Below are 26765 nucleotides of genomic sequence, written 5' to 3'. Positions count from 1 at the left end.
AAGATGGACGAGTGAATGAGTGAACAGGAGGGTGGGAGAATGGATGGGAAAGGAGGAAGGCTGGTTGGTAGGGTGTCTCTGCACGGGTGGAGAGGATGTATCGGAAGGAATTACCCACTTATCCCGTTCCAAGCAGACTCTGAAGAGCAGAGAGCCCTCGGCGATCAAAGTCCAGCCCCGTCACGTTTCTGCTAGAAGCCGAGGCGGGAGAAGTTGGGTGCTTTCCCCCGGGGCCCGCAGGGACGTCCAGGCAGAGCCGGAAGGGGGACGGGAGTTTGTGGGCCGGCCGGGGGGCTCTAGGCGACATCCCCCCATCCGCCCGCGCCTGCCGGTGCCAGGGTGGGGTAAGGCCCCCGCCCCCACCTCCGGAGGTGGCGGCCCCACGCGGCCCCAACAAACTGCCGTTGTCCCGCGGGCCGTGGGCCCGGCACACTGGGGCTTTGTCCGGCCCCCCGCCGCGACCCGAGGCGGGGGCCCCACATGACCGAAGGGGTAGGAGGAGCCTGCGGCGGCGGCGGTGGCAGCGGCGGCTCCACCACCATTTCCCTCCCGGGCCGGGGGTCGGCGGGCGGTGGCGGTGGCTGGGCAGGGCTGGGCAGGGCCGCGGACGCCAGGCCCCCCGTTCCCCGCCAGGCTGCAGGCGTCGGGCCTGGGCCGTCAGGGCAGCTGTGACCGGATCGCTTCCCGGGCGGCGAGCTGGGGGTGCACCCGGACCGCCGCCCCCGGGATCATGGGCAATGGCATGACCAAGGTAGGGGGCGGGCCCCGCGCAGCCTCCCCGGTCCCCGCCCCGGCCGCCGCGGCCCGGCGCTGACCAGCTCGGTCCGCCCGCCTCTGACCTTCTGTTCTCGCCGGTCTCCGTGCGGCGGCATCTCCGTGTCCCTGTGACTCGAGACCGCGGCTGTCGGGTCTCCCCCTCTCTGACCCTGCGTCTCTGTCCCCGCTGTGTCCGCCCTCTCTCCGTGACTCTGTGTGTCTCTCGCTGTCTTGCTGTGGCTGTCACTCCCAGGCTGTCTCCCAGTGAGTCCTGCTCTCCGTCTGCATGTGTCCCTCTCCCTTGTCGCTGACTCCTCGGCTCTCTCCGGGGCTGTTTCTCCATCCTGTCCCGCCTCTGCCTGTCATTGCCTTTCTGCCTCCCCAGCCCCAGAATTTCCATCCCTGCACCCTGCAAGTCTACCTCTCTCCTCTCCTCTCCTCCTAAGACCTGCCTTCCTCCTCTCCCCTCTCATACCCAAGCTGGCCTCCCTTGGTTCCCTCGGTTGGTTAACTGGCCCCCTAGCCTACCCTCCCCAGAGCCCCAGACCCCTCTCACAGAGGACTCAGGGCCCACAAAAGGGAAGAGAGTGCTCCCTGAGCCCTGAGGTCCATACCCTTCATGGGACAGAGAGGGGCTGTGGGCCCCCCAGCTGCCCTGGGGGTGGAAGGGGGTGCAGCCCCTGCCCCACTGACCCTTGCCTGTCCTTCCTCTAGGTACTTCCTGGACTCTACCTCGGAAACTTCATTGGTGAGCACTGCCCACTCTGTCCCGAGGCCATGGCACTCTGCCTGTCTCAGGCCTGTGTCCACCATTCATGCCCTGGCCCATGCATCTCAGGAATGGGGTTGGGGGCAGGGAAGCGGCCCCAGGCTGGGAGGGGGAAAAGGCTGATGGAGGACAAGGGGTGCACATGCAGGCGAGTGTCCCCAGGCTTGAAGGGACATGGAGGGAGCATGGGGGCCTGACACTGACATCCCTCCCCGCCATTCAGCCTTCCCCAGTGTTCTACCACCAGACCAAAGGGCCAGAGCAAAGGGCTCGGGGCCTGGGCTGTGGACCTGAGCAAGTCTACACCTGCGCTAAGCCTCAGCCTCCTCCTCAGCACAAAAGGTCCACCAGCTGCTGAGCACTCTTCTGGCCCTGAGGTTCTGGGTTGAGGTCTGTTTGCGGGTGCTGCTTCTAGCGGGGAAGCTGGGAACTCTTCCCCCCATAACTTCCTCCTTGTCAGAGGAGAGGTCCCTGGAGATGGGCTGGGCCTTCTTGTGAGCAGGGTCATGAGCACCAACACTGTCGCACCCCAGAGCCCTGGAGCAGCTGGGCAGCCTAGAGCTGGAAGTTGGGGGGGCGGTGAGCCGGCAAGCTTTGCATTCCCCACTCTCTCATCCATTCCTTCCACAATCTTCAGTCAGGAGGAGGGGACACCCATGTATAGATACCTTGTTCTTCAGGGGCTTCCAGGCTGGTGGCAGGCAGGCAGAGCTGAACATAGACCTTGGGTAGAAAACATGCTGGGTAGAAACCATGCTAAGGGGGCTGGGCGCAGTGGCTCACGCCTTTAATCCCAGCACTTTGGGAGGCGGAGGCGGGCAGACCACCTGAGGTCAGGAGTTCGAGACCAGCCTGGCCAACATAGTGAAACCCCGTCTCTACTAAAAATACAAAAATCAGCCAGGCACGATGGCAGGCGCCTGTAATCCCAGCTACTTGGGAGGCTGAGGCAGGAGAATCACTTGAACCCGGGAGGCGGGGGTTGCAGTCAGCCGAGATCGTGCCACTGCACTCCAGTCTGGGCAACAGAGCGAGACTCTGTCTCAAAAAAAAAAAAAAAAAAAAAGAGAAAGAAAAAAGAAAAGAAAACATGCTAAGGGGCAGACTGATCCAGGGCTTGGGTGACTCAAAGTGGGAAAATCATTTCCATCTGCAGAGTCAGAAAAAGCTTTAGAGAGGGAGGGGCTCAGGTGCTTCACCCTTGTAAATCCTGGTCCCTTCCTTCCTGGGAGCTCCCTCAGCCGCTCATGCCACCTTGATTTCTGTGAGTATTTGGCCAAGTAAGGTCTGAACCCTCTGTAAGTGTGCAGGCCCCATAAGGGCAGGAGCCACGAAGCTGGCCCCAGACCTCCAGTGCCCAGCCAAAGTATACACATGGTTAGCACTCGGTAAATGCTCATCGAATGAGGAAGTGGAGATAGAGGGGACATGTGTTATTCATTCTGAATATAAAAGATCTGCATATGCTGGGTATGCAGCCCCTAGAGAGGGCCACTGTTGGGTACATCCTTGTTCATATATCTTTGTAGATAAGGACATAGTATTTAAAACAAAAGTGGAAGCTTATTCTGTATCCTTAAAAATACATTGTGGGCATCAGCCGGGCACGATGGCTCACGCCTGTAATCCCAGCACTTTGGGAGGCCAAGGCGGGCGGATCACGAGGTCAGGAGATCGAGACCATCCTGGCTAACACGGTGAAACCCCGTCTCTACTAAAAATGCAAAAAAATTAGCCGGGTGTGGTGGCGGGAGCCTGTAGTCCCAGCTACTCCGGAGGCTGAGGCAGGAGAATGGCGTGAACCCGGGAGGCAGAGCTTGTGGTCAGCCGAGATCGCGCCACTGGACTCCAGCCTGGGAGAGAGAGCAAGACTCCGTCTCAAAAAAAAAAAAAAAAAAAAAAAAAAAAAAACATTGTGGGCATCATTGCACATCAGCATATAGAACTCTTTTTAATGGCGGCACACTGTGCCAAAGTATGCCTACACCATTAATCATCCAGTCCCTTTTTAATGAACACCAGGTTGTTCCCATGTTTAAACTATTTGTGATATAAGCAGGACTGCAGAGAACATCATCCTCCACACACAGCTTTCTGTGTGAGCAAGCGCTTCTGTAGACAAGATTCCTAGAAGCAGAATTGCTGGGTCAAAGAATATGCCTGGGAAGGGTGTTTTGGATGGAAAGAACAGAATGAGCAAGGATGGGGATATGCTGTACTGTTACTTGCATGTGCCCCAGAAGCAAGAGGATCAGGGAGCCGGCAGAGCGTGGGCCAAGGTGGAGTGGTGGGGTGAGAGGGAGAGCTGGGCAGGCAGTGAGCTCCCTCCGCACTTGGCCATCAGGACATCCCGCCAGCCAGATTGGCTCAAGCATCCTGTTTCTTTCAGATGCCAAAGACCTGGATCAGCTGGGCCGAAATAAGATCACACACATCATCTCTATCCATGAGTCACCCCAGCCTCTGCTGCAGGTACTTCTTACCCCCATCCCAGGGCTATGCGGGGGTGGGAGGGTGCAGACCTGTTTATCAAATATCTACTATGTGCTAGGTGCTATGCTTCCTTCTTGACTCATGTTAACTCATTTGGTCTCCACCACTGGGCCATTTTACATTATCATCCCTATTTGGCAGTTGAGGCCCAGAGAGGTCAATTAACTCACCTGAGGTCACACATCCAGGAAGCTGAGGAGTTGGGGTATGAACACAGGCCATCTAGCACCAGAAGTCTCACACTGAACCTTAAAATGGCCCCCATATGGGCTTCCCATGACCCAACTGGATGGATGAATCCAAATGGATGACTGTGGGCTCTGTATCTTGCTATGCAACCTTGGGCTGTGACTTCACCTCTCTAGGGCTTTGATCCCTCAGCTCTGTCTGCCCCCAGAAGGCTGCTGTGAGGATGCAAAGGGACTGCAGGATGGTGAAGATGCTTTGCACACTGTAAAGCATGGTCCCCTCTAGGGCGGTTGGTGCTGGTATTATCAAGTCCTGGGAAAGGGGCATGAGGGTGTTAGGACCCAGCAGAGGAAAGTAATAAATCCAGACTACACGTGCTTATGTCAGGAACATCTTCACTGTTTATTTGCTCTATGACCTTGGGGACAGGACTTTGCCCCCTCTGAGCCTCAGTTGCCTGATCTGTAAAACGGGAACTTTATAACAGTACCCACTTCACTGAGTGGTTGGGAACCACATAAATAGATGCTCAACAAATCACAACTGATACTATAACAAATTTAATCATATTCTTATCCCATAAACAGAGCCTCTTCACCCTTATCTATTAGAGTCTGTATCATCCACTGGAGAGAAAGAACCATGGGTGGGAAAAGGTCCTGGAGATCTGAAATGAAGACCCGGTTCTGCCATAGACTTGCTGTGTGATCTTGGCCAAGGTCCTTCCCTTCTCTAGGCCTCAGTTTTCCCATATGTCAGATTTGATATTCTCTAACAGCAACCTCTAATAATCTATGATTTTCAATGTCATTCAGAGAAGAAATTTCCAGGCCATTGCAGTCTTATTTTGCCTCATAGGGCAGCCTCGTTTGGGAGTATTTGGAGTAAACAGTCACTAGAGTGCATGGGGAAGGTTGTCAAGTCATGAGTGTATTTACTAATGAAATGACAGCCTACACAATGAGTCTCTGCTCCTACGGCCCTTCCTGCTTCTCCCAAGCATCTCTCCTTCCCCCCTCCATCAGCAAATTTACCAGGCAGGGTTTGATAGTACCACACAAACCCAAGGCCAAATGTGTTGCAAAGTGAAATTGCAAACCTTGCCAAAGATGCAGGATGTCATGACCTTGGGGAATGTGAGTGAGAGAAGGGCTGGAATCTCACACAAAGCCATGGACAAATGAGAACCTGGCTGGTGGTCCCTTAGTTACTGCCAGTGACGGGCCTGGCCCCTGAAAAGAGCCATTTGAATATAAAAATGTTAAGACAGTTTCTCGAGAAAAGCAAGGAGGTCCTCAGGAGGCGGGCAAAAATAATCTTCATGATATTGTGTGGCTAATCAGGAAACAAAGGACATCACAGCAAGTTTGCTGGAAAAAATTCCTGACAATTTATTCCTTGATTATTCTCATAATCAGCACATCATTTTATAACCATGATTCCTGAAATGTATACTTGTTTTCATGATTTTTGTTTCTTTTCAAGATAATCAAATCTGCTCTACCTTTTTTACGATGTAATTTTGTAATTCCCATTTGGAGTGGAGTCCCTTTAAGTAGCCCTTTCCTAGCTACTTGATAAAGGTTCCTGGGTCCCTGTTGGGAGGGATAGGTGACGTCATGCCCACGCCGCTGATGGGGTTAGGAGACACCATGTGCTTAGAAGGTTCAGGAATCACAAGTGGTCACAGCTGGGAGGCCTCAGAGATGACAACTACTTTCTTTGGACAGAGAGGACCACAGTGGGCCAGAGAAGGGCAGGAACTGGGCTGGGGTTATGCCCTGCCTGGGCAGCTCGGACCAGCATCAGGGAGGGTTGCAGGCAAGGTCCCCTGCCTGAGTGTATTTTGTACTTGCAGGATATCACCTACCTTCGCATCCCGGTCGCTGATACCCCTGAGGTACCCATGTAAGTTCCCCTGGATGGACCCATAGATGGACAGACAGCTGCCTTCTGTGGTGGGGGAGGGGGAGGGGGTTTGAAGGAGGACAAAGTACTCAGGCCAGAGAGCTATCACAGGTGTTCAACTCAACCAGTCCCAGGTTTGACTCTGTCTCAACCATGCCCTTGTGATAGGCCCTTGGCCAAGACTCTCCACCTCCCCGAGCCTCAGTCTCATCAGCTATGAAATGGGAAAAGGACACTCTGTACCTTGGGACCAGCTACACCAGCTGATTTGAAAGGGTCATATTCAGCCTGTTCCTGGCCTTGGGGTTAAGACATCTGAGTTCCGGCCAGGCTCTGCCATTTACTTGCTGTGTGACCTTGAACAAATCACTTCCCCGCTCTGGGCCTCACCTGTAAATCAGGAGTGCATGATCAGAGTCAAGGAGGCTTTCGAAGATCAGATGACACAGGTCAAGGATCTAGGATAGGGCCTGGAGTATAACTGAGCTCAGAAAACGGGATTTTTGTTTGTGGCATCAGCAGTAGTGCCTCCCCGCTTGGGATGGAGCCAAGCAGACAGTGCTGCCCCTTGGGAATCTTGCTCCCAGCCTGCTGCTGCCCATCATTGTGCCCAGGTGCTCTGATTGCAGACCCCAGAGGAGTGGGACCCCTGTGTTTCCTCCCACCCATTTCTCTGAAAGGCCACAATAAACCCAACATGAAAACAGGGTCCACAGGAGGAGTGCTCCTGCCTAGATGGTGAGATTTGTCCTGACTGGTCTCTCTCACTGCCTGAAATGCCACCATTCTTGCTTCACACAAACACACCTCCAGCTCATACTAAGTACTGGCCCATATTCACTGCATGTGCTGGCTGACCTGGGGACCCCAGGGCTCTATGTCCCTTGCTATCCTGTAATTGGGGTGGGGGCGGAACAACTCCTGAGAGGTCTGCCCTGCAGTGCTCCCTACCCTATTGCTTTCTCCTCTAGCAAAAAGCACTTCAAAGAATGTATCAACTTCATCCACTGCTGCCGCCTTAATGGGGGGAACTGCCTTGTGCACTGGTGAGTTAAGCGGAGGGGGATAAGGTGGGGGAGGAAGGAAGTGGCTGTGCCCTCTGCTGAACACACACTCCCCCTGTGGGAAGGTTGGACCTGTGAGGGATCTTCTCCAGCCTGTCACAGTGCCTGAGGGCCCACCATTCACTGGAGAGAGGCCAACCCGGGACTCTATTCCTTATGAGCTGTGTGGCCATAGCCAAGTAGCTGTTTCTCTCTGAGACTCAATGTCCTCATCTGTAAAATGCGGAAAAGAAAGCTGACCTGATGGGACTGTTGGGAGGGATAGGTGAGGTCATGGAGGTAGCTCATCACCCTCCAGTAGTTCTGGGCCTCCCTCCTCCCCTCCAGGCCTTGGAGGTGATGGTGCAGGGCAGTGGGGAACCCCGAGCTGGGAGACAGGAATTCTGGGTCTTCCCAGGTGCCCCTCGCTCAGTTGATGTCATTCATTCCTTAACTTCTCACTGAAGGCCCATCCTATCCAGGCTCAAGCTGGCTCTGCTGGAGGCCCAGCAAGGAGGCCGGTTTCCCAAGCCTCATTTCCCACCCTCTCCCTCCTTCCCCTTTCCAGCTGTACTAACCTCCTCCCCATCCTCCAAATCTACGAGGCTTATGCCTCATGGTCTTTGTACACACTGCCCAGAAGGTTCCTGACTAACCCTTATTCATCTTTCAAATTTCATTGATATCTATTCCTTGGGAACCCCTTCCCTAACCCCACCCCACCTATAGATTAATACCTCTTCCTATGTGGATCTCCTAGCCCCCAGACTCATCCTCAAAGCTATTATCACCACCTGGAATTGATTATCTGATCAACGTCTGTCCCCCCCCCCCAGCCATACTGTAAGCTCCAGGACAGCAAAGACCATGCCTGTTTTATACCCGCTACATCCCCAGTGCCTGAAAAAGAACAGATGCTCAGGACATATTTATTGACTGAATGAATGGTGTTTCACTCAGGCTTTTGATGTGGGAGAACCCAGGGGATGCTCTAGACAGAGGGAACAGCATGGCAAAGGCCTGGAGGTGGGATGGCAAGTCCTGACAGGTCCCTTATGGTTGGAGCTCAGGAGGCAAGGGTGGGGGAGTTGAAGCAGGGTGGGGTGCCTGGGGGCATGGAGGACATTGGATCTTACTTGAAGCCTGAGGGGTTGTTGGGGATCCCAGCTTTGCAGGCATCTCTCGCAGCACCACGATTGTGACAGCGTATGTGATGACTGTGACGGGGCTAGGCTGGCGGGACGTGCTTGAAGCCATCAAGGCCACCAGGCCCATCGCCAACCCCAACCCAGGCTTTAGGCAGCAGCTTGAAGAGTTTGGCTGGGCCAGTTCCCAGAAGGTAGGGATGGGGTCAAGGGCTGGGTTGGGCCAGGGGTGGGAGATCCTTCTTCCCACTCGAACTGATCACTGATTGGAACATTTTTAGCCTGTGCCTCAGACCCGGATTTTTCTAGGGTCTCAAACTCATGGCCTTTGAGCTAATCCACCTCCTAGGTGTATTTTGTTAGACAGCCAGGTGTTTTCTTTTTCAATTTAGAATTTGAATGCCTTTAGATCAGTGCGGGCCCTTCCATTTGACCAGGTCTTCCAGCCCTCCCCACTGCCTGCCCTACCTGGCTGGAACCTGAAGGATTTGAGTGTTTGACCCCATCGGGGAGAATTGTCCATGTCCTACTCCATCCCTGTGTCCTTGATGAGACCACAGCAGTTTCCCTCTTATACCTCTCGGGCAGATGCTACGTAGAAATGTCAGGAACTAAGCCTCCCTGGGAACAAAGGATGAGAGGGGGAGGGCTCTCAGCAGGTTGAGGGCGGTACCCAGAGGCTCATCTGCAGCACGGCGTTGGGAAAGAGTCGGGCAAGGAAGAAATCTGTGGGAATGGGGTTGTGAGCACAGAGGTGCAAAGTGGGAGGAGTTACCCAGAAGTGCAAAGCGGGAGGAGTGATCCCCGCTGGGCGCCTGGGGGTCACTTTAGCAGGTCTGGAAGCTGGCGTGTCAAAGGGGGAAGAGGGGTCAGGGAGAGGGAGGGGCCTCCTAGAAGGGAAGAGGGACTCAGTGAGGGGATGGAAACCCCGGAGAAGGGAGGCAAAGAAGACGCTCAGGAAGGGAGGGGCTCAGCGAGGTGTGGGACGCTCGGAGAAGGGCGAAGGTCGGGAGGGTGGGGGCGGGGCCGGCTGCCTTGACCCCGCCCCGCGCCGGCCTTGACCCCGCCCACCTCACCCGCCCACCCCAGCTTCGCCGGCAGCTGGAGGAGCGCTTCGGCGAGAGCCCCTTCCGCGACGAGGAGGAGTTGCGCGCGCTGCTGCCGCTGTGCAAGCGCTGCCGGCAGGGCTCCGCGACCTCGGCCTCCTCCGCCGGGCCGCACTCAGCAGCCTCCGAGGGAACCGTGCAGCGCCTGGTGCCGCGCACGCCCCGGGAAGCCCACCGGCCGCTGCCGCTGCTGGCGCGCGTCAAGCAGACTTTCTCTTGCCTCCCCCGGTGTCTGTCCCGCAAGGGCGGCAAGTGAGGATGCAGTCCAGCCGTGGCTCCCCACTTCCGACTGGCTCCCTTCGGGGGCTGTCTGCGCCTTCCACGCCCCCCAGGACGGGCCCAGAGGCTGGGGGAGCCCCGCGGCGGCCTGAACCCTGCCTCCCGCGCCCGCCCTGCTCGTCCGCGTCTGCAGTCAGCGTCCCCAACCTGTGCGTCTCTGTGTCCGGGCCGGCCTGCTGCAGCCACCTGGTGCCTTAGTCCTTGGGCTGGGGGAGGGGGCCCACCCTTAAAGGCGGCGGGAGGGGAGGGAGGGAGAGTGGAGGGTTTGACGGGCCTGGAGGGTATTAAAGAGACACAGAAGAAGCTGCCTGTCCGAGTGCCTCCCAGTCATTCAACAAAGGCGGGGCAGCAGGATTCTGCCAGGAGCCAGCAGGACTGCCAGGGGCCAGCAGCCTGCAGAAAAGGGGATGCGAGGGAGCCTGCATCCCCTGGGGGCCTGAGGAGCCCACCACCCTCCCGCAACTGCAGTCTGCGGAGTTGCCTCCTGGGACCCCACCTCCTTCTCTAACATCTCCCCTCCCCCAAAGCCACGGTGTCCCGCCTGACAAGGCCCAAGTCCCTCCTTCTCTCGGAACCCCCTTCCACCTTTTGAACCCCTCTCCTCCACCATGAGGGGCCCCTCCCCTCCCCGACTCCCTTCCCTTCCCTGTGCACAAATAGTAGCTAGGAAGGTGAGGTAGCGCCTCCCTCATCCTGACCTTTTACTGCATGAGTTCACTTAATCCTCAGGGAGGAAACAGAGGCTCAGAGAGATCAGGCAGCTTGCCGGAGCACACACAGCCAGAGCAGGGAAAGCTGGACGCTAGCTTAGTCAGTCTGAGTCCCATGACGGTAGGTAGTTAGGAAGCAGCTCCTCTGGTTTGGGAGGTTCCTGACAAGGAGGCTCCACCCCCAGCTAGTGGGAATGACCCTTCCTGCCAAGACTTTAAAGGCCAGGGCTGCCCATCAAAGCGGTAGCTGGCTCTGAGGATGAGTAGAAGTCACTGCAGCTGATACTTCCAAAACTAAAGTTAACCCAAAGTTGAGAGGGATCGAAAATAGCTATAACCCAATAAGCCACTCGTATGGGGTTCTTAATATGCACAAATCACTGTGCTCAGGGCTGTCGGGGAGGCACCGATTCCAGCACTGGAGTTGGAGGATGGACAAAATAACCTTCAGCTGCCACCCCAACTTCCTACTCCTCATTCATTCAACAAATGTCCATTGAGTACCTACTGTGTGCCAGCCATTGTGCTCGGCCCTGGGTATACAGCAATGAGCAAAACCTCTGCCTTCATGTTGCTGACATTCTGGTCGGGAAGACAGCAAATAAAAAATATGTCAGGTGGTGAGGGAGTGGACCGTTTGGTTATCTGGGGGAAGCATTCCAGGCAGACAGAACATTAAGGCCATGAGTTAGTAACCTCCTTGCCAGTAACCTCCAAAAACAGAAGGAGCTGCTTCCTAACTACCTACCATCATGAGTTAGGGTCTTTCCCTTCACAGTTCATGTGAAGAGCAAAGTGGCTGGACTCACCAGAGTGCAGGGAGCCCGCAGTCCTCCAGGCTGGTTAATGGTGCTGCCAGACGCCCCATTTAAAACACCTTCTACCTCTGATGGTGTCTTCCCCTATTTAAAAGCCTCCATGGAGGCGGAGGCTGTAGTGAGCCAAGATTGCGCTACTGCACTCCAGCCTGGGTGACAGAGCGAGACCCTGTTTGAAAAAAGAAAAATAAAAAAAGCCTCCATGGCCCCCATCATCTATAGGACTGATCTGATATTCCAGATCAATCCTTCAAGATGCTTCAAGAGCCAGGTGGCTACTGGAATATGGGAGCTAGAGGAAAGGAGGAGCAGGAAGAAAGCCCTCCCAGCAGGTACACATCAGGAACAATGCTTCCAGTCTCTGGTCAATGCTGGCTGGGTGCCCAGCTTTGTGCCAGTGCTGTGCAAAGGTGCAGGGAGTGGGGGGCATTCTCTCTCAGAGCCTCAGTTCCATGAATACAGCAAGGAGTGGAGCAATCTGAGCAACTTGATCTTTTTCATATCCCACATCTCCTTTGACAATTTAATGAAAGATGCAAATCCCCCCCCCCCAAAAAAATGCATAGACATGAAATTTACATTCACTTTTAGGGGGTCAGAGACCCCCACCAAGAATCCACAAAGTACAGGTGTAGCTGTCGGCAGGCAGTGTGGGGCACTGCTTAGGCTCCCGGGCTCTAGGGAGCAGAGAGACACATTTTGGCTCCTGGCTCCACCACCCACTAGCTCTGTGACCTTGTTAGAGGGCTTTAACCTCTCTGAGCTCAGTCTTAACATTAAAACAGGGCTTTTACCAACCTCATAAGCTGTTGTGAGAACCAATTGAGACACTGCAGGAAAGTGTTTAGCCAGGCCCAGCACTGATGAGCAGTCGGTAAGTGGGAACTCCTAATATTTACAGAAATAAGTGTGACCCCTGGACTACCTGCATCAGAACCTCACGGGGGAACTCATTACAATGTGGGTTTCCTGGGCTTCCTGCCCAGAAAGTCTGATTCTGCAGATCTGGGATGGAGGTCATGAGTATGCATTTGAAACGAGTTGCTGCCTCTCAGTTCTGGCAGGAGTTAGTTTGAGAATCCCTGTGCCTTTCCAATCTCAACAGTCCAGGTCCTGAAAAGAGACTGACAAATTTCCAGGTGGGCTGGGAAGAGCAGGTGACAGTTGCAGACTGGGGCAAAGCTGTGTCTCTGGATGCTCATGGGGGCCGGCCTCCTGAGACCCGCAGAGCCCAGGCTACCCCACTTGCGTGGGTCTTGTGTCTCACAGCGCCTCCTGCCACCCCATAAAAGAGGATCAATGCCCTCCAGGCTAGGCTGCTATGGGGAGGTGCAAAAGGAAAGGGCCTCCCAAGAGAGGGGACAAAACAGAAAGTGAGACCTGCCTGCCCAGACTTTCACTTTCATAGCCTCCCAGCATCATCCAGGTGGCCCGTAGTCCCCAGGCCCACGTGGGTTGAGCCACTGCAAGCCCAAGACCTGGCCCCTGCATCCCTGATGGCCAGAAGGAAGGAAAGGTCCCCGACGGCAGGTGACCCATGGCAGAGCCAGAGGTTCCCTGTGCCTCTGGGACTGGGGGGGCACAGATTGAGAGTGGGTGCTACGTGGGGTTATGCTGGGAGGATGCGGGCAAGACCCTCTTTCGCATCCCCTGGAAGCATGTAGCCAAGCAGGGCTACCAGGTGCAACAGGACTCAGCACTCTTCAGGGCAAGGGGACAGGGGACTGGAGACGCTCAGCACTGGGCAGGCTCTGGACACAAGTTGCCCCAGCACTGAGACTGACGGATAGCCTTGTGACCCTGGGCCACTTTCTGGCCTCTAGGGCTGAGGGTAATGTTCTCTACATATGAGGGACTCTCAGACACTTTCTTAAAACAATCAGCCAAGGCTGCCACGACCTGCACCACCGGCCCCTCTCAGAGGGCCTCTTCTCCCACTCCACCAATGCACTAATGGGAATTCTGTCAGCCTCCCACCCCTAAACCCATCAACCTCTGCAGCTCAGGAAACTTTTTGGTGCTCCCAACACCAGCCCTTCTCAGGGACCTCCTGCAGGAATGTCCCTCCTTTCCCCAGTCATCATTAACTTCTTCCAAACTGGCTCCTTTCTTGAGAAAGAGATGGTTAAGCTGAGGATGGTGGGAGCATGCCAGGTAAAGGTGAAGAGGCGAAGGTATTGCAGGCAAAGGGAACTGAATGTGCAAAGGTCTAATGGAGATAAAGACATGAAGCATTTAGAGATGAAAAGAACTAAAGTGGGGGAGGAGAGGGAGTGGAGGCAGATGAGGCCCAGGAGGGGCAGTTCATGCATGGCTTTGAGGCCATCATGAAGAGTTGGAACTCTTTCACAAGGGCAATGGGGAGCTATGGTAGGGGAGGGTCAAAACCAGATTTGTGGCCAGGAGTTGTGCCTCAACTGTAATCCTACCACTTTGGGAGGTCAAGGCAGGAGGATCACTTGAGCCCAGGAGTTCGAGACCAGTCTGGGCAACATAGTGAGAGCCCGTCTCTATAAAAAGAAAAAAAAAAAAAGACCAGATTTGCATTTAGAAAGATCCCCCTGGAGGACCTCCTGGCATTGTGGAGGGACAGTTGCCGTCATTTCAATTCTGGGCTCTCTTCCCTGAGCAATAAGCAACCAACCGCACATCCACACACTACCACCCCAAACACCAAAGTCACCTCCAGCCCCTCCTTCTGTGGCCTCCCCCTCCTTCCACAGTGGGAAGCACCTGGAGAGTCTCCTTACACCAACTCCCTCCCTCTCAGCCTCCCAGCCCCCCATGACCAGTCCGGCTTCTGTCCCTCTTGATAATGCCTCTAGTTGCCAAATCTAAGCATATGTCACTGTCTTCATCTTCTTTGGCTCCTGGATGGTGTTGGGTTGGTCTGCATCTTGTAGGCCCTCCCTCCTCCTTGAAACACTCCCATCTGGCTTCCAGAATCTCTGCTGCCTGCCCTGCAACCCCTCCCAGGCCTTTGTTTCTCAACCTCCATCCTGTCCCCTCCTCTACTGGGGCTCCCAGCACTCACTTCTGAACCTACTTCCTCATGTCCCACTGTCCCCTTCCGTGGCCTCAGCATGGTGGCTGTGGGTCTTCCTCTGAACCCCAAGCCTGCTCATCAAGCTGCCTGCTGGCTACTGTCTCCTGGATGGCCCCCGAGCACCTCAAACTCAACACACCCCAAACATCACACTCATCAGCTCTGCCCCACAAACTTCTGCCACCTGGGTATCTGAACCCTGGCCACTCCCCACCTTCCAGCTTCATTCTACTCCATTACCAAGGCCTGCTGGCTCTCCCTGCAGAATGTCTCTTCGGTCCCTCTGCTGAAACCCATTTCTGTCAGCTCTCACAGGACAACTGCAGTGACCTCCCTGGGCTTCCTGCTTCCCCCATCCCTCAGCAATCCCCGCAGTCCTTAAGAGGGATCTTTCTAAATGCAAATCTAGCCTCGACCCTCCCCTATCAGAATCATTCCATAGCTCCCCATTGCCATTGTGAAGGAGTCTCAATTCCTCACTCACTATACCCTCAAAGCCATCCATGAACTGCCCCTCCCTGGCCTCATCTGTCTCCACTCCCTCCCCTCCCCAACTGTAGCTCCTTTCATTTCTAAATGTTTCATGTCTTTATCACCGTTAAACCTTTGCACATGCGATTCCCTTTGCCTGCAATGCCTTCTGCTCTTCACTTTTACCTGGTCAGCTCCCACCATCCTCAGCTTAACCATCTCTTGCTCAAGAGAGCCTTCCCTGGGAGGTGAGGAATAAAAGACTACAAATTGGGTTCAGTGTATACTGTTTGGGTGATGGGTGCACCAAAACCTCACAAATCACCACTAAAGAACTTACTCATGTAACCAAATACCACCTGTTCCCCAAAACCTATGGAAATAAAAATTTTTTTTTAAAAAAGAGAGAGCCTCCCCCGATGCATTCATTTATTTAATGCATTTATTAAGCTCCAACTCAGTGCTTCTTCCAAGTCATCACTGACTCCAAAGGTGAAGGCTCATTGAACAACTTTCCCTGTGAATTTTAAGTGTCTGGTGTGAGTTTGTCTTCTCCAGCAGACCATGAGCCGCTTGAGGGTGGTGTCATCAAGCACTGTGCCTGGCACATAGTAGGTGCTCAATAAGTGTTGAATGGGTGGTTGCATGGCCTGTCCCTTAAGACGTATGCATATACGTGAACAACAGCATTGTTGTTCAGAGGCAAGAGATTCTGGGGGCTGGCCTCCCCATCCTTTTGGCTGCTCTGACCCATCCCTCAATCCACCACTGTCACACACATGTGACTCCTTGGCTTCAAACCCTTCTGGTGCCCAAAGCTCATGGAATAAAGCTTGGCCTTCAAGGACATTCATGATCTAGCTTCAGCTTATCTCTTCCTCCTTAATTTCTCTTGCTCTTTCCCCCACCACACACAGTCGACCCTCATTATTCATAGATCCTGTCGTTGCAAATTATCCTATTTGCTATGATTTATTTGTAATCCCCAAAGCAACACTTGTATCAGTTTCATGGCCATTCATGGATGTGCGCAGAATGGCAAAAAAGGTAAGTTGCCCCCCAACCACCCAGGAACATTCGAAGCTCAGGTCAAACAAGGCAATTCTCTGCCTTCTTATTTCAGCTCTCATATGTAAACACGTGTCCTTTTTACAGTCTGTTTAGTGCCACATTTTTTATGTTTTTGTGCTTTTTTGTTGGTGATTGAAAATGGCCCCCAAGCATAAAGCTGAAGTGTGGTCTAGTGTTCCTGAGTGCAAGAAAGCTGTCATATGCCTTCTGGGGAAAATACAAGTTAGATAAGCTTCGTTCAGGCATGAGGTTTAGAGCTGTTGGTTGCGAGTTCAGTGTTAATAAATCAACATCATATTAAATAAAGTTCCTCAAACAGAAACACACAGAAAACAAGGTTATGTGTTGGTTGGTTGATGAAAATGGTATGACCAGAAGCTGGCAGGGACCTAGCCCTGTATTTCCCCTAGGAGCAATGGTTCCTTAGTCCCTAATTTAGTGTTTATGGGAACTTTATAGAACATAACTAAACTCCCTCAAATAACGAGAGTTGACTGTACCCTCAGACACACACACCCAGCAAGGGCAACACCAGGCTGCTCACTGACCCCTGAGTGCACCACGCCCTTCTATACCTCCAGGACTTTGCTCAAGCTCTTCCCTCTTCCAAAAATGTCACTCCATCTCTCAACTTCCTACTGACCCTTCAAGGCCCAGCTCAGTGCATTCAACAAATACATACTGGGGGTGTCCTGTGTGCCAGGGACCATTCTAGTCGCTTGGAGACCACAGCCATGAACAAAACCAATACACCTCTAGTCATGGTGATAGCACCCTCTGCCCTGTGCCCACGTCATCTTCATGTTATTCTTAATACAATAAGTGTCACAATAAATTACCACTGTGTGCCAGGCACTTATCTAAGCATTTTACATGCACCAGCTCATCTTATACCCACCCCAACCTCACGAGGTTAGGTGGTATTGACACCTACAGACATTTGCAGACAATAAAATCAAGCCTCAAAAAGTCTCACTCCTGGCACCCACAAGGAACTGTGGCTTTTCTGTTTTGGTGTCCATGTTTCCAACAAGACCTGGAGTCTCTGAGAACAATGATTGAGTGCAATTCATCAGTTAAATCCCCCTCAGTGCATGATTGAGTGCAATTCATCAGTTAAATCCCCCTCAGTGCTGAACGAGAGAAATGTAGCAATACATCTCCTGATGGCCTCCTCTTTGACCACACTGGCCTTGCCTGAATTATCCATCTCTTTTTCACTGCAGGCCCTTTGCCTTTGCTGTTCCTTTTACTGGAACACCTTTCCCCAGCTGTTCATCAGGCTCCATCCAGGTTTTAGCACAAATGTTACCTCCTGAAAGAGGCCTTTTCTGACCACACTCTTTAAAGTAGCCTCCCAGGCTGGGCACGGTAACTCACACCTGTAATCCCAGTGCTTTGGGAGGCCGAGGTGGGAGGATCACTTGAGCCCAAGAGTTCGAGACCAACCACCTGGGCAACATAGTGACACCCCCATCTCTACAAAAAATATTTTACTATTAGCCAGACATGGTGGGGTGCGCCTGTAGTCCCAGCTACTTGGATGAGGTGGGAGGATCACTCGAACCCAGGAGGTCGAGGTTGCAGTGAGCCCTGATCACCAGGCTGGAGTGAAGTGGTGTGATCACGGCTTACTGCAGCCTCGACCTCCTGGGCTCATGTGATCCTCCTGCCTCACTCTCCCAAGTAGCTAGGACTACAGGCATGTACTACCACACCTGGCTAATTTTTATTTTTTATTTTTTTTAGTAGAGACAGGGTCTCACTCCTTTTACATTTTAAGAAATGTTCTCTGACCCTAAAAGATTTTCTCCTACATTATTGTCCATTAATTTTTTATCATTTTTTCTCTTACCTGTGGTTTTTAAAATCATCTGGAGTCCACTTTGTGTATGACAATAGGTAGGGATTTCATTCTATGGCTCGGCAGATAGCAAACCACTGCCATGATTTTATATCCCATCACTCTATTTATTTTTTCTTTTATTTATCACAAACCATAATTTGGAATATAGTTATTTCTGTTTAACTGATTACAGCTGTCTTCTCCCATTAGGCTTGAGAGCAGGAACCATGTCTATCTTATTCCTCATTCAATCCCCAGCCCTAGCTGGGGTCCTAGTAGGAGCTCAAATAATATGTGTTGTGGGGAGGGAGGGAGGGAAAGGAAAGGGAAAAGGAGGGAGAGAGAGGGCAAGGGGCAGGGCAGATTCTCATCCCTCTGCACGGCCCAGTGCCCTAGCTATTCCTCCCCAAATGCCCCCCCAAGGCCCCCATCCCCAATCCTCCAGGCCTGGATGGTGCACAAGGGCAAGCATTTGGAGGGCACCAACAAAGAGGCCCCTCCACCTGGAAGAAACGATTCCACTCTGCCTTCAACAAGAGCGCCACCTTCTGGGCTGCAAGAGTGAGTGCAGCCAGCTGGACGCCTCCAAGTTCTTTTTTTTCTTTTGAGACGGAGTTTCGCTCTTGTCACCCAGGCTGGAGTGCAATGGCGAGATCTCGGCTCACTGCAACCTCCGCCACCCAGGTTCAAGCGATTCTCCTGCCTCAGCCTCCCAAGTAGCTGGGATTACAGGCGCCTGCCACCAAGCCCAGCTAATTATTTTATATTTTTAGTAGAGACAGGGTTTCACCATGTTGGCCAGGGGTCTCAAACTCCTGACCTCAGGTGATGCACCCACCTTGGCCTCCCAAAGTGCTGGGATTACAGGCATGAGCCACCATGCCCGGCCAACATCTCCAACTTCTACAAGACCACATTGTGTCTGCCGCTGTGGCCCAGGTACCATCCTGCCCCTGGAGGTAATGGCCAACGATGGCTGTCTGGCAACAAGGATCTCTTTGCTCATCTATAAAGTGGGTGGTGGACTCATTGAGCTTAAACTCATGTGCTGGTCAATTTAGGACGCCTAGACCACACAGTTTATCTCCCCACTAGAAAAGGAGGAAACTGGCTGGATGCAGTGGCTCACAACTGTAATCCCAGCAGTTTGGGAGTCGGAGACAGGTGGATCACCTGAGATCAAGAGTTTGAGGCCAGCTTGGCCAACATAGTGAAACTCCATCTCTACTAAAAATACAAAAAATTAGCCAGGAGTGGTGGCGGGTGCCTGTAATCCCTGCTACTCAAGAGGCTGAGGCGGGAGAATCACTTGAACCCAGGAGGTGGAGGTTGCAGTGAGCCGAGATCGCACCATTGCACTCCAGCCTGGGCAACAAGAGCAAAACTCCATCTCAAAAAAAAAAAAAAAAGAAAGAAAGAAAAGGAGGAAACTGAGGCCAAGAAACAGGTGGACCTTGCCTGAGGCCATACAATGAGCTGGGGTACTCATCTGGGATCGTCTAAATTGAGGGGGTTCCTCCTGGGGCCCAGGGAATAGCAGGCTGTCTCTTGCTTGATGCAGTTACCAGGGCCTGGGCGCCCCCTGAAGAGGTAGGCATGCCCTTTAGTCCGAAGGAAGCTCCTGGGAAGTGGCTGAGCCTGCCTGCAGGTCAGACCTGCTGAGTGTGTTCTTCCAGCCCCTGCAGCCTTGCCAGCTCAGTCACCTCTCAGCAAGTCACCCACTGGCCCCACCCTCTCTGGCTATGACCTCCAGCACCATCATTTACCTCATCCCTCCAGAGCACCAGCTCCAGCCCTGTCCCCATGCTCCCACCCGCTCCACCTTTTTCTACCTCTCCTGCAGCCCTCCCTCCATCTGCAGCACCACCAGGCCATTCCCTTCACCTCCACCATCTTCAGTTTCATTGCCCTGTCTGCAGCCACCCCATCTTCTCCACATTCATTCCTTTGTCCTCCTTGGGTCCATCACTCCACCCCCATGCACCCCATCGGGTCCAGCTCCATCACCTCCGGCTCCCTCACTGTTCCCATCAGCTCTGTCTCCCTCATTCTGTCTGTATCACCCCTATTATCTCCACCCCATCACCTTTCCGCCATCGTCGACAGCTCATTGCTCTGTGCTCATCACCCCCACCCCCGCATCAGCATCTGGCTCTGTCCCGCATACCTTTCATCTCCAGCTCCCTCACCTCCGCATTTACCCCCAGCACTTCTCTCCCTATCACAGTGACCCATCTCTGGCCCTAATACCTACAACATCTTCATCAACTTTCTCTTTACCTCCATGGGGGCGGGGGAGTTTGAGCTCTGAAACTTCAAAGTTCTTTTCTCAAAAGCCCAGTGCCATAATATTGACTTCTAATACATTGGACAGCCAGCCCTTTTACTCAGAAACACTGTCAACCCCAGCTGGCCTTCAGTCCGCCCAGACCTCTCTGCACTGGTGGGAACAGTCTGGGAATTCCTGAGGAGTCACAGGCCTCCTCTCCCACCCTCACAGCCTCTTCTCCCAATGCTCAGGATGGCTCCGGATTTGCCACAGAGGATGAGGACAAGGAGTGGCCCCACAGGCTGGCCCAGCAGGGTTCCTTACTACCACCCATCCTCCTCCAGGCCCTTTGGTTGACCACAGTAAGGACTGGGTCTCCTCACCCAGCCCTGCCTCCTCCCTGGCCTCCTCCTTATCTATGGGTCTGGGGTCAGGGTGAGATGGTGCCTGACTGCTTCCTCTCCTTCACCAGGGTGCCAGACATAGGACCTCAAAAACCTCTGGTGCCCAATGCCCTCCGATGACTTCAGCAACCTGGTAAGGAATCGAAATCCCCTCCCCTCCGACCAGTGTGCTGAACTGGGGACGGCCGCGGGGTGGGGCCAGCCCACCTCTCTCTCCCACCCAAAGCACCCAGCCCAGGCTCCCAATAATAGCCACAACAGTCAACATTTCCTGAGGGCTTAGTTTATGCCAGGCACCCTTCCAAGCTCCCCACAGCCCCCAGATGCTGCTATTATTCCCATTTTACATATGCCCAAACCAGGACACAGAGGTTAAGAACCTTGCCTGAGGTCACACAGCTGGTAACCCTGGGAAAGCTCCTAAGTGGCAGTGATAGACTAGAATCCGAGGGCCTGGCTGCAGAGCCCACAACCCTAACCACTGAGCAGGATTGCTGGTTTCTCATGAGACGCTGCTAGGTTGTTGTTATTGTCGCTGTTATGGTTATTTCTACCTGCATCAAAATCTTTGCTGGGAGGAAGCTCCTAGAATCCCAGAAGATTTGCTGGGAGGGTCATGCCCTCACTGTACAGATGGCCCCAGCTTTTAACCGCAGAGCTCGACTATCAGTTCGTTTATACTGGAAGCTATTGTTTACTACTATTATTACTAGAATTCTTATCATCACTGATAGGGAGAGAGCACCCAAAATTTCCGAGGTAGAGGCTGGGACGACCTCTGGGTCCGGCAGAGTTTGAAGGGGAGGGTAAGAAGGCGAGGGGAGCTAGCGCCGCCCACGTCCAGCCCGTGCACCCTCTCTCGCCCCACAGCCTGCTGGCTGCACGTGTGGCTCTTCTCTCCGCAGCGCTGGTGCGCGAAGCCACCGGGCGCACAGCCCAGCGCTGTCGTCTGAGTCCGCGGGCGGCCGCCGAGCGCCTGCTGGGGCCGCCACCTCACGTTGCAGCAGGTTCGCTTCCCCGACCCATTGCCCAGCGCCCACGTGTTGCAGGGCCTGCCGCCTCACCTGGAGCGCGGTGTGCAGCTCTGGGTGGCTCCGGAGGGCGTGTTCACCAAGCGCCTGTGCCAGGGCCTGTACTGGCGCAGCCCAACAAGGTGGAGCGCAGGCGCACCTGCCACCTGCTGAACACACGCGGCTTCCTCCAGGCGGTAGGACGGCTGGAGGAGTGGAACAGAGTGGCGTGGGAACGGGGGCATAAGGACGCGGTGGGCAAAGGAACATGAACAGAGGAGAGTGGGCACATTAAATGCAGGCCCAGGGGGATGGGCCTAAGGGTGCTGGGCATGAAGTGGACATTGACACAAAGAATATGGCACAAAAGCACCAGGGATGGGAAAGAATACAGGCACCAGGAGGGCTGGGGGCACATATACGGATACAGGCGTATATGGGGTGCTGGCATGGAGAAGGCTTGAGGCGTTGGGTGTGCAGCATAAGAATAGGGCTTCGGTACATGTGTTGGCTTAGGGCATAAGGTGGATGTGAGGTGCACCAAGCACGAGATAGGTATAGGTGAGTGGCAGTGGGCATGGGTTGGGCATAAAGGCATGGGGTGGGCATAGGGGCCAAGGAAGAGACATAAGACCTGGAAGTGGGCACAGATGTGGGACATGGGACAGGCATAGGAACGTGGAAGTGGGCCTAGGGTACAGGCACACAATGGGATGTGGGCTTACAGGACTTGGGCATGGGAAATGAGCACAAGATGGGCACCAGTGGGTTGCCTAGTTCTTGCCCAGTCCCTATAGTCTCAGTGTCGTATAATTGTGTGCCCACCTGCAGGATGGTCACCGGACCCAAAGTACCAGATCTGTCTGTGCTTCGGTGAGGAGGACCCGGGCCCCACACAGCACCCCAAGGAGCAGCTCATCATGGCGGACGTGAGTCACTCCTTCCACTCCAGCCAAGAAGCACGCCCTCCAGTCCCCTCCAGACAGCCCTTCCCACACTCCCTCCAGTCCCAGCTCTGCCTCTGACACTTCTAGCACCCTCGGGTCTGTAGGACCCTACCTGGAAAATGGGGGTAGGGATGGGGCTGTAACTAGGGCTGTGACTTCCCATGGGAACATCCGAGGCGGGAAATGGAGAGGGTCTGCTCATCGCCCCACCCGCCCCCGCAGGTGCAGGTGCAGCTTCGGCCTGGGAGCTCGTCCTGCACTCTAAGTGCCTCAACCGAGCGCCCAGATGGGTCCTCAACCCCTGGCAACCCCGATGGCATCACTCACCTTCAATGCAGCTGCCTCCATCCTAAGCGAGCCGCTTCCTCTTCTTGTACCCGCTGAAGGCAGCCCCCAACAGGGGGGCTCCCTACTCCCACCCAACCCTGCCCACACTAAGCCCATAGACTTGGGGCCTCCCCCGGCACATCACCCAGGTCTGCCGGACGGCAGAGGTGGATCGCGGCCTTCCACTCCTCTGTCACGGGGCCCCGGAACTCGAGAGTAGGCCACACCGCCCCCCAGCTGGGCATGGGGCTTCGGCAGGAAACTGAACTTGATCTTGAGGCCCCAGAAAGGCAGCAACTGGAGCAGAAGCAAGACTTCATCTCTTGCTGACAGCCCAATTTGTCAATAGCGCTTTCCTCAGAGCCAGCCTTAACCTGCTGTTGAGTCCATTAAAACGTTTGCTTAAAGTTTTTACCAATAATTAGATCATCAGGGTTGTTTAGTGTGGGATCAAGCCATAACAAAACTGCCTAGCCTCTCAGGGGCCTAGAATTTACAGAACCTTCCTCCTCCCTGCAGCTAGTCTCTCTTCTTTATTCTGGGGGCTGGGAAGGATCCCAAAACAGGGAACTTGGCCGAACCCTGGGCTTTGGATGCTAACCACTGAAGTACCAGCACCTGTAGGATGCTGTCTTTGAAGAAACTGAGGCGGACCTCCAAATGCAGCCCTAAGGCAGAGGTCAACGTGGAAGACCAGCCCTTCTCCAAGCCCCACTGGTCTTTGCAAGCTGTACGTTGTAGGCAATCTGAGAACTGGAAAGGGGGACTACAACCAGAAAGTTGGTTACCCTGCCATGGGAATAAAGTAGCTGTTTTCCACCCCACATATCAGGCCTTTTATTCTTTTCTGAGTTCTGATTTTATTTATAGGAATCCTCTTACAGATGCCAATATTGTAAGTCTCTTTTAATGATACATTAATAAGCCACCTTCATGGGGGGAAAACTGTGATTCGATAAAGGACAGAAATCAATCAATTGCTGTTTGTTTAGTCATTTAGCAGACATTTCTTGAACACCTACTCTGTTCCAGGCCTCTGTTCCAGTGTCCAGTGTGTGACTCTGGGGGTACAGCAAAACAGCATGCTCTTTACTCTCTTGGAGTTCACATTCTGTTTTCTAGTGGGGACCCAGCGACTCTCCGCTACCCCTGCCCCTCACTGAAGAGGCAGTATTTAGGAATTACAGAATCCTAGGCTCATATCCAGCTTTGTCACTCACTAGATGTGGGACATCAGGGAATTTACTTACCTTCTCTGAGCCTCAGAGCCCTCATCTATTCAAAAGAAGCAATGAAGCCCTCCAGAGCAGGGTTGGTTGAAGAAGTAAGTGTAGGGTTGGGGAGGTGAGCTGGCCTGGTACAGAGTGGGTGAGCAGTGACTTGGGAGTGGGAGAGCAGAGAGGATGCCGTCCCCTCCTCCAGAAGGCCTGACTGTTCTGGGCCTGACTCTCTGGACCTCCCGACCCCAGGCTGCAGCTGGGGTAGCCTCAGTTCAGAGTGACAATCCGCAGCCATGTTCATATCCCTACTCCATACTAGGCTCTTGATGAGGGTGCTGCATTCTGTGTAAGGGGAACCTGTTGCCTCCCCACCATGGCCTGGACAGCTGAGGAGTCACCAGCTCCATGTTAGAGATGGGGAAACTGAGGCTCAGCCAAGGTCTTGAGGTGCCTCTTGGGAGGGAGAATGTCTCTCCCCAGATAGCTGTCCTTCCCACACCAGTCACTAGGGGGCGACAGGGATGCAGCAGAACTGAATTTCATGGGCTCTCCTTACCATCCTAGGTGCCCCTCCCTGCAGACACCCCAGAGCTAGGAGGATGGGGTAGGAGTGGTGTGGCCCCAAGGCCTCTGCACCGCAGGAGAAGGCAGTAGACCACAGGCCTGGGAGAAGAGGGAAAAGCAGGAGTAGAGGTAGGGATTAGAGAAGCCCCTGGGGCTTCTCTCACTCTAGGGGGACTGGGCTCAGGCCCTGCCTCTCTCTCCTCTCTCTCTCTCTCTCTCTCTCTCTCTCTCTCTATTCATTCCTTTCACTCCTTGTGTTTGCACCTGTGTCTCTCAGTATCTCCTTTCTCTCTGGCTTTGTGGATTTCCTTGTTTCTGCCTGCTCAGTGATTCTCACTTTCTCCGTATACTACGTGTGTGTGTGTGTGTGTGTGTGTGTGTGTCTGTGTCTGTGTCTCTGTGTTTCTGTGTGTGTATGTCTCTGTGTGTCTGTGTATGTGCTTGTGTGTGTGTCTGTGTGTATGCCTATGTGTCTGTGTGTGTCTGTCTCTGTGTATATGTGTGTGTGTGCTTATGTCTGTGTGTGTGTGTCTGTGTGTGTGTCTGTGTCTGTGTGTCTCTGTGTGTCTGTACGTGTATGTCTGTGTGTCTCTGTGTGTCTGTACGTGTATGTCTGTGTGTCTCTCTGTGAGTGTCTGAGAGGCTCTGGGTGTCTCTGTCCGTTGTGTCTGCCTCTGTCTTATCTTTGTCTCTCCCTCTTTCTCCCTCTTGTGATGTCTCTACCTCTCTCTGTCTCTATCTCTTTTTTCCCTGTCTCTGTTTCATATGTTTCTGCCTCTGTCTCATTTTGTTTTTGTCTCTGTCCCGCTCAGTTTCACATCCTGTCCCTCCCCAGCCACCACCACCCAGCACACGTGGGCTGAGGGTCTCAGTCCCTTCCTTCCCAACTCCTCATCCCTGGCAGCTGCTCGGCTTCCCACTACTGGCCTCTCCTGCCCGCCTCTTTTGGGCCTTGTGGGAGTGGGGCGAGGGAGGAGGGGAGGATGGCTCAGCAGACCCACCCCTTTTTGCCTTTCCAGGCTGGGAGGCTGGGCCAGTGGACCTTTTAACCAGCCTGGGCAGGCTATTCCGGACGCCAGCCCTGGAAGCTGAGCCTGACCCAGCAGGTCCCAGCAGCCTGGCAGCCCGGCCAGCATGCAGCAGCAGCCTCTGCCCGGGCCTGGCGCCCCCACAACTGAGCCAACCAAGCCTCCCTACAGCTACATCGCCCTTATTGCTATGGCCATCCAGAGCTCACCGGGGCAGCGGGCCACCCTCAGTGGCATCTACCGCTACATCATGGGCCGATTCGCCTTCTACCGCCACAACCGGCCCGGCTGGCAGAACAGCATCCGCCACAACCTGTCACTCAACGAGTGCTTTGTCAAGGTGCCCCGCGATGACCGCAAGCCAGGCAAGGGCAGCTACTGGACGCTGGACCCTGACTGCCACGACATGTTTGAGCACGGCAGCTTCCTACGCCGCCGCCGCCGCTTCACCCGGCAGACAGGTGCTGAGGGCACCCGGGGCCCCGCCAAGGCACGCCGTGGACCCCTCAGGGCGACCAGCCAGGACCCAGGAGTCCCCAACGCCACGACCGGCAGGCAGTGCTCATTCCCACCAGAGCTGCCAGATCCCAAGGGCCTAAGCTTTGGGGGTCTGGTGGGGGCCATGCCAGCCAGTATGTGCCCAGCAACCACTGATGGCAGGCCTCGGCCACCCATGGAGCCCAAAGAGATTTCCACGCCCAAGCCTGCATGCCCAGGGGAGCTCCCCGTGGCCACCTCATCTTCCTCATGCCCAGCGTTTGGCTTTCCTGCCGGCTTCTCAGAGGCTGAGAGTTTTAATAAGGCCCCTACGCCCGTCTTGTCCCCGGAATCAGGCATCGGGAGCAGCTACCAGTGTCGGCTGCAGGCACTGAATTTTTGCATGGGGGCTGACCCAGGCCTTGAGCACCTCTTGGCCTCAGCAGCCCCCTCCCCTGCACCACCCACCCCTCCAGGCTCACTCCGGGCCCCACTGCCCCTGCCAACTGACCACAAGGAACCCTGGGTTGCAGGTGGCTTCCCTGTCCAGGGAGGCTCCGGCTACCCATTGGGGCTGACCCCCTGCCTATACCGGACGCCAGGAATGTTCTTCTTTGAGTAAAGGCAGCCTCACCTCGGGCAGTCCCTGCAGGTCCCTCACCCTCCGGGCTGAGCCTGGCTCTAGGACCTGAAGAACTCTCGAAGGACCCAGCCCTGGTGAGCCAAGGACAACCACACAGAAAGCCAGGATTGAAGCGGTGCTCAGCCAGGCCCCTGGGGCCTCCGGACAAACTTGGGGGTGAGGGGAAGCAGGGCCTCTTGGGATTTACTCTGTGGCTCTCAGGGCCAATAAAGCCATGTGATGATGA

The 26765-nt window shown here is 54.4% G+C and overlaps 3 protein-coding genes across 24 annotated transcripts in view, besides 5 other annotated features; 2 read left to right on the top strand and 1 right to left on the bottom strand.

The window, feature by feature from the left end:
* The window catches only part of TTLL9 (tubulin tyrosine ligase like 9), a 74367-nt gene extending 73933 nt beyond the window's left edge, over positions 1 to 434 (bottom strand). For 4 of the 7 annotated variants that reach the window (NR_148010.3, NR_148013.3, NR_148011.3 and 1 more), the window contains exon 1: positions 119 to 434. The gene's annotated coding sequence lies outside the window, so the exon portion shown is untranslated. Of the gene's footprint in view, positions 1 to 114 lie in introns of all 7 variants that reach the window. The other 3 variants (NR_148014.3, NR_134519.4, NR_148012.3) reach the window with 1 other exon arrangement.
* Positions 404 to 25475, top strand: DUSP15 (dual specificity phosphatase 15). 16 transcript variants are annotated; one of them, XM_017027656.2, is made up of 12 exons: positions 541 to 751; positions 1471 to 1504; positions 3915 to 3997; positions 6066 to 6115; positions 7087 to 7161; positions 8326 to 8497; positions 20171 to 20281; positions 20392 to 20456; positions 21194 to 21330; positions 22165 to 22262; positions 24392 to 24520; positions 25411 to 25475. In XM_017027656.2, the coding sequence occupies exons 1-11, from the start codon at positions 731 to 733 to the stop codon at positions 24479 to 24481; spliced, it is 936 nt and encodes a 311-aa protein (XP_016883145.1). In that variant the 5' UTR covers positions 541 to 730; the 3' UTR covers positions 24482 to 24520; positions 25411 to 25475. The 16 variants fall into 16 exon arrangements, with proteins under 16 accessions (XP_016883144.1, NP_001307408.1, NP_001307407.1 ...); XM_017027655.2 differs by lacking the exons at positions 541 to 751; positions 24392 to 24520; positions 25411 to 25475 and adding exons at positions 404 to 492; positions 22503 to 23431; XM_017027654.2 differs by lacking the exons at positions 24392 to 24520; positions 25411 to 25475 and adding an exon at positions 22503 to 23431.
* Positions 505 to 604: a silencer, noted in NCBI's record as "silent region_12768". NCBI's record gives its function as "represses an Ori minimal core promoter by ATAC-STARR-seq in GM12878 lymphoblastoid cells {active_cell/tissue: GM12878}" and the evidence as "EXISTENCE:reporter gene assay evidence [ECO:0000049][PMID:35858748]".
* Positions 625 to 894: a silencer, noted in NCBI's record as "silent region_12767". NCBI's record gives its function as "represses an Ori minimal core promoter by ATAC-STARR-seq in GM12878 lymphoblastoid cells {active_cell/tissue: GM12878}" and the evidence as "EXISTENCE:reporter gene assay evidence [ECO:0000049][PMID:35858748]".
* Positions 9495 to 9694: a silencer, noted in NCBI's record as "silent region_12766". NCBI's record gives its function as "represses an Ori minimal core promoter by ATAC-STARR-seq in GM12878 lymphoblastoid cells {active_cell/tissue: GM12878}" and the evidence as "EXISTENCE:reporter gene assay evidence [ECO:0000049][PMID:35858748]".
* Positions 12430 to 12529: an enhancer, noted in NCBI's record as "active region_17701". NCBI's record gives its function as "activates an Ori minimal core promoter by ATAC-STARR-seq in GM12878 lymphoblastoid cells {active_cell/tissue: GM12878}" and the evidence as "EXISTENCE:reporter gene assay evidence [ECO:0000049][PMID:35858748]".
* FOXS1 (forkhead box S1) lies at positions 25464 to 26765 on the top strand. Its single transcript, NM_004118.4, has one exon. The coding sequence runs from the start codon at positions 25526 to 25528 to the stop codon at positions 26516 to 26518; it is 993 nt and encodes a 330-aa protein (NP_004109.1). The 5' UTR covers positions 25464 to 25525; the 3' UTR covers positions 26519 to 26765.
* Positions 25523 to 26080: an enhancer, noted in NCBI's record as "H3K27ac-H3K4me1 hESC enhancer chr20:30432791-30433348 (GRCh37/hg19 assembly coordinates)". NCBI's record gives its function as "activates a minimal SCP1, AML or CMV promoter by ChIP-STARR-seq in naive H9 embryonic stem cells {active_cell/tissue: H9 hESC(naive)}" and the evidence as "EXISTENCE:reporter gene assay evidence [ECO:0000049][PMID:30033119]".

The sequence above is a fragment of the Homo sapiens genome, chromosome 20, assembly GCF_000001405.40.
Source record: "Homo sapiens chromosome 20, GRCh38.p14 Primary Assembly".
NCBI lineage: Eukaryota > Metazoa > Chordata > Mammalia > Primates > Hominidae > Homo > Homo sapiens.
The sequence above is the reverse complement of the archived record's forward strand: the minus strand, read 5'-3'. Positions and strand labels throughout refer to the sequence as shown.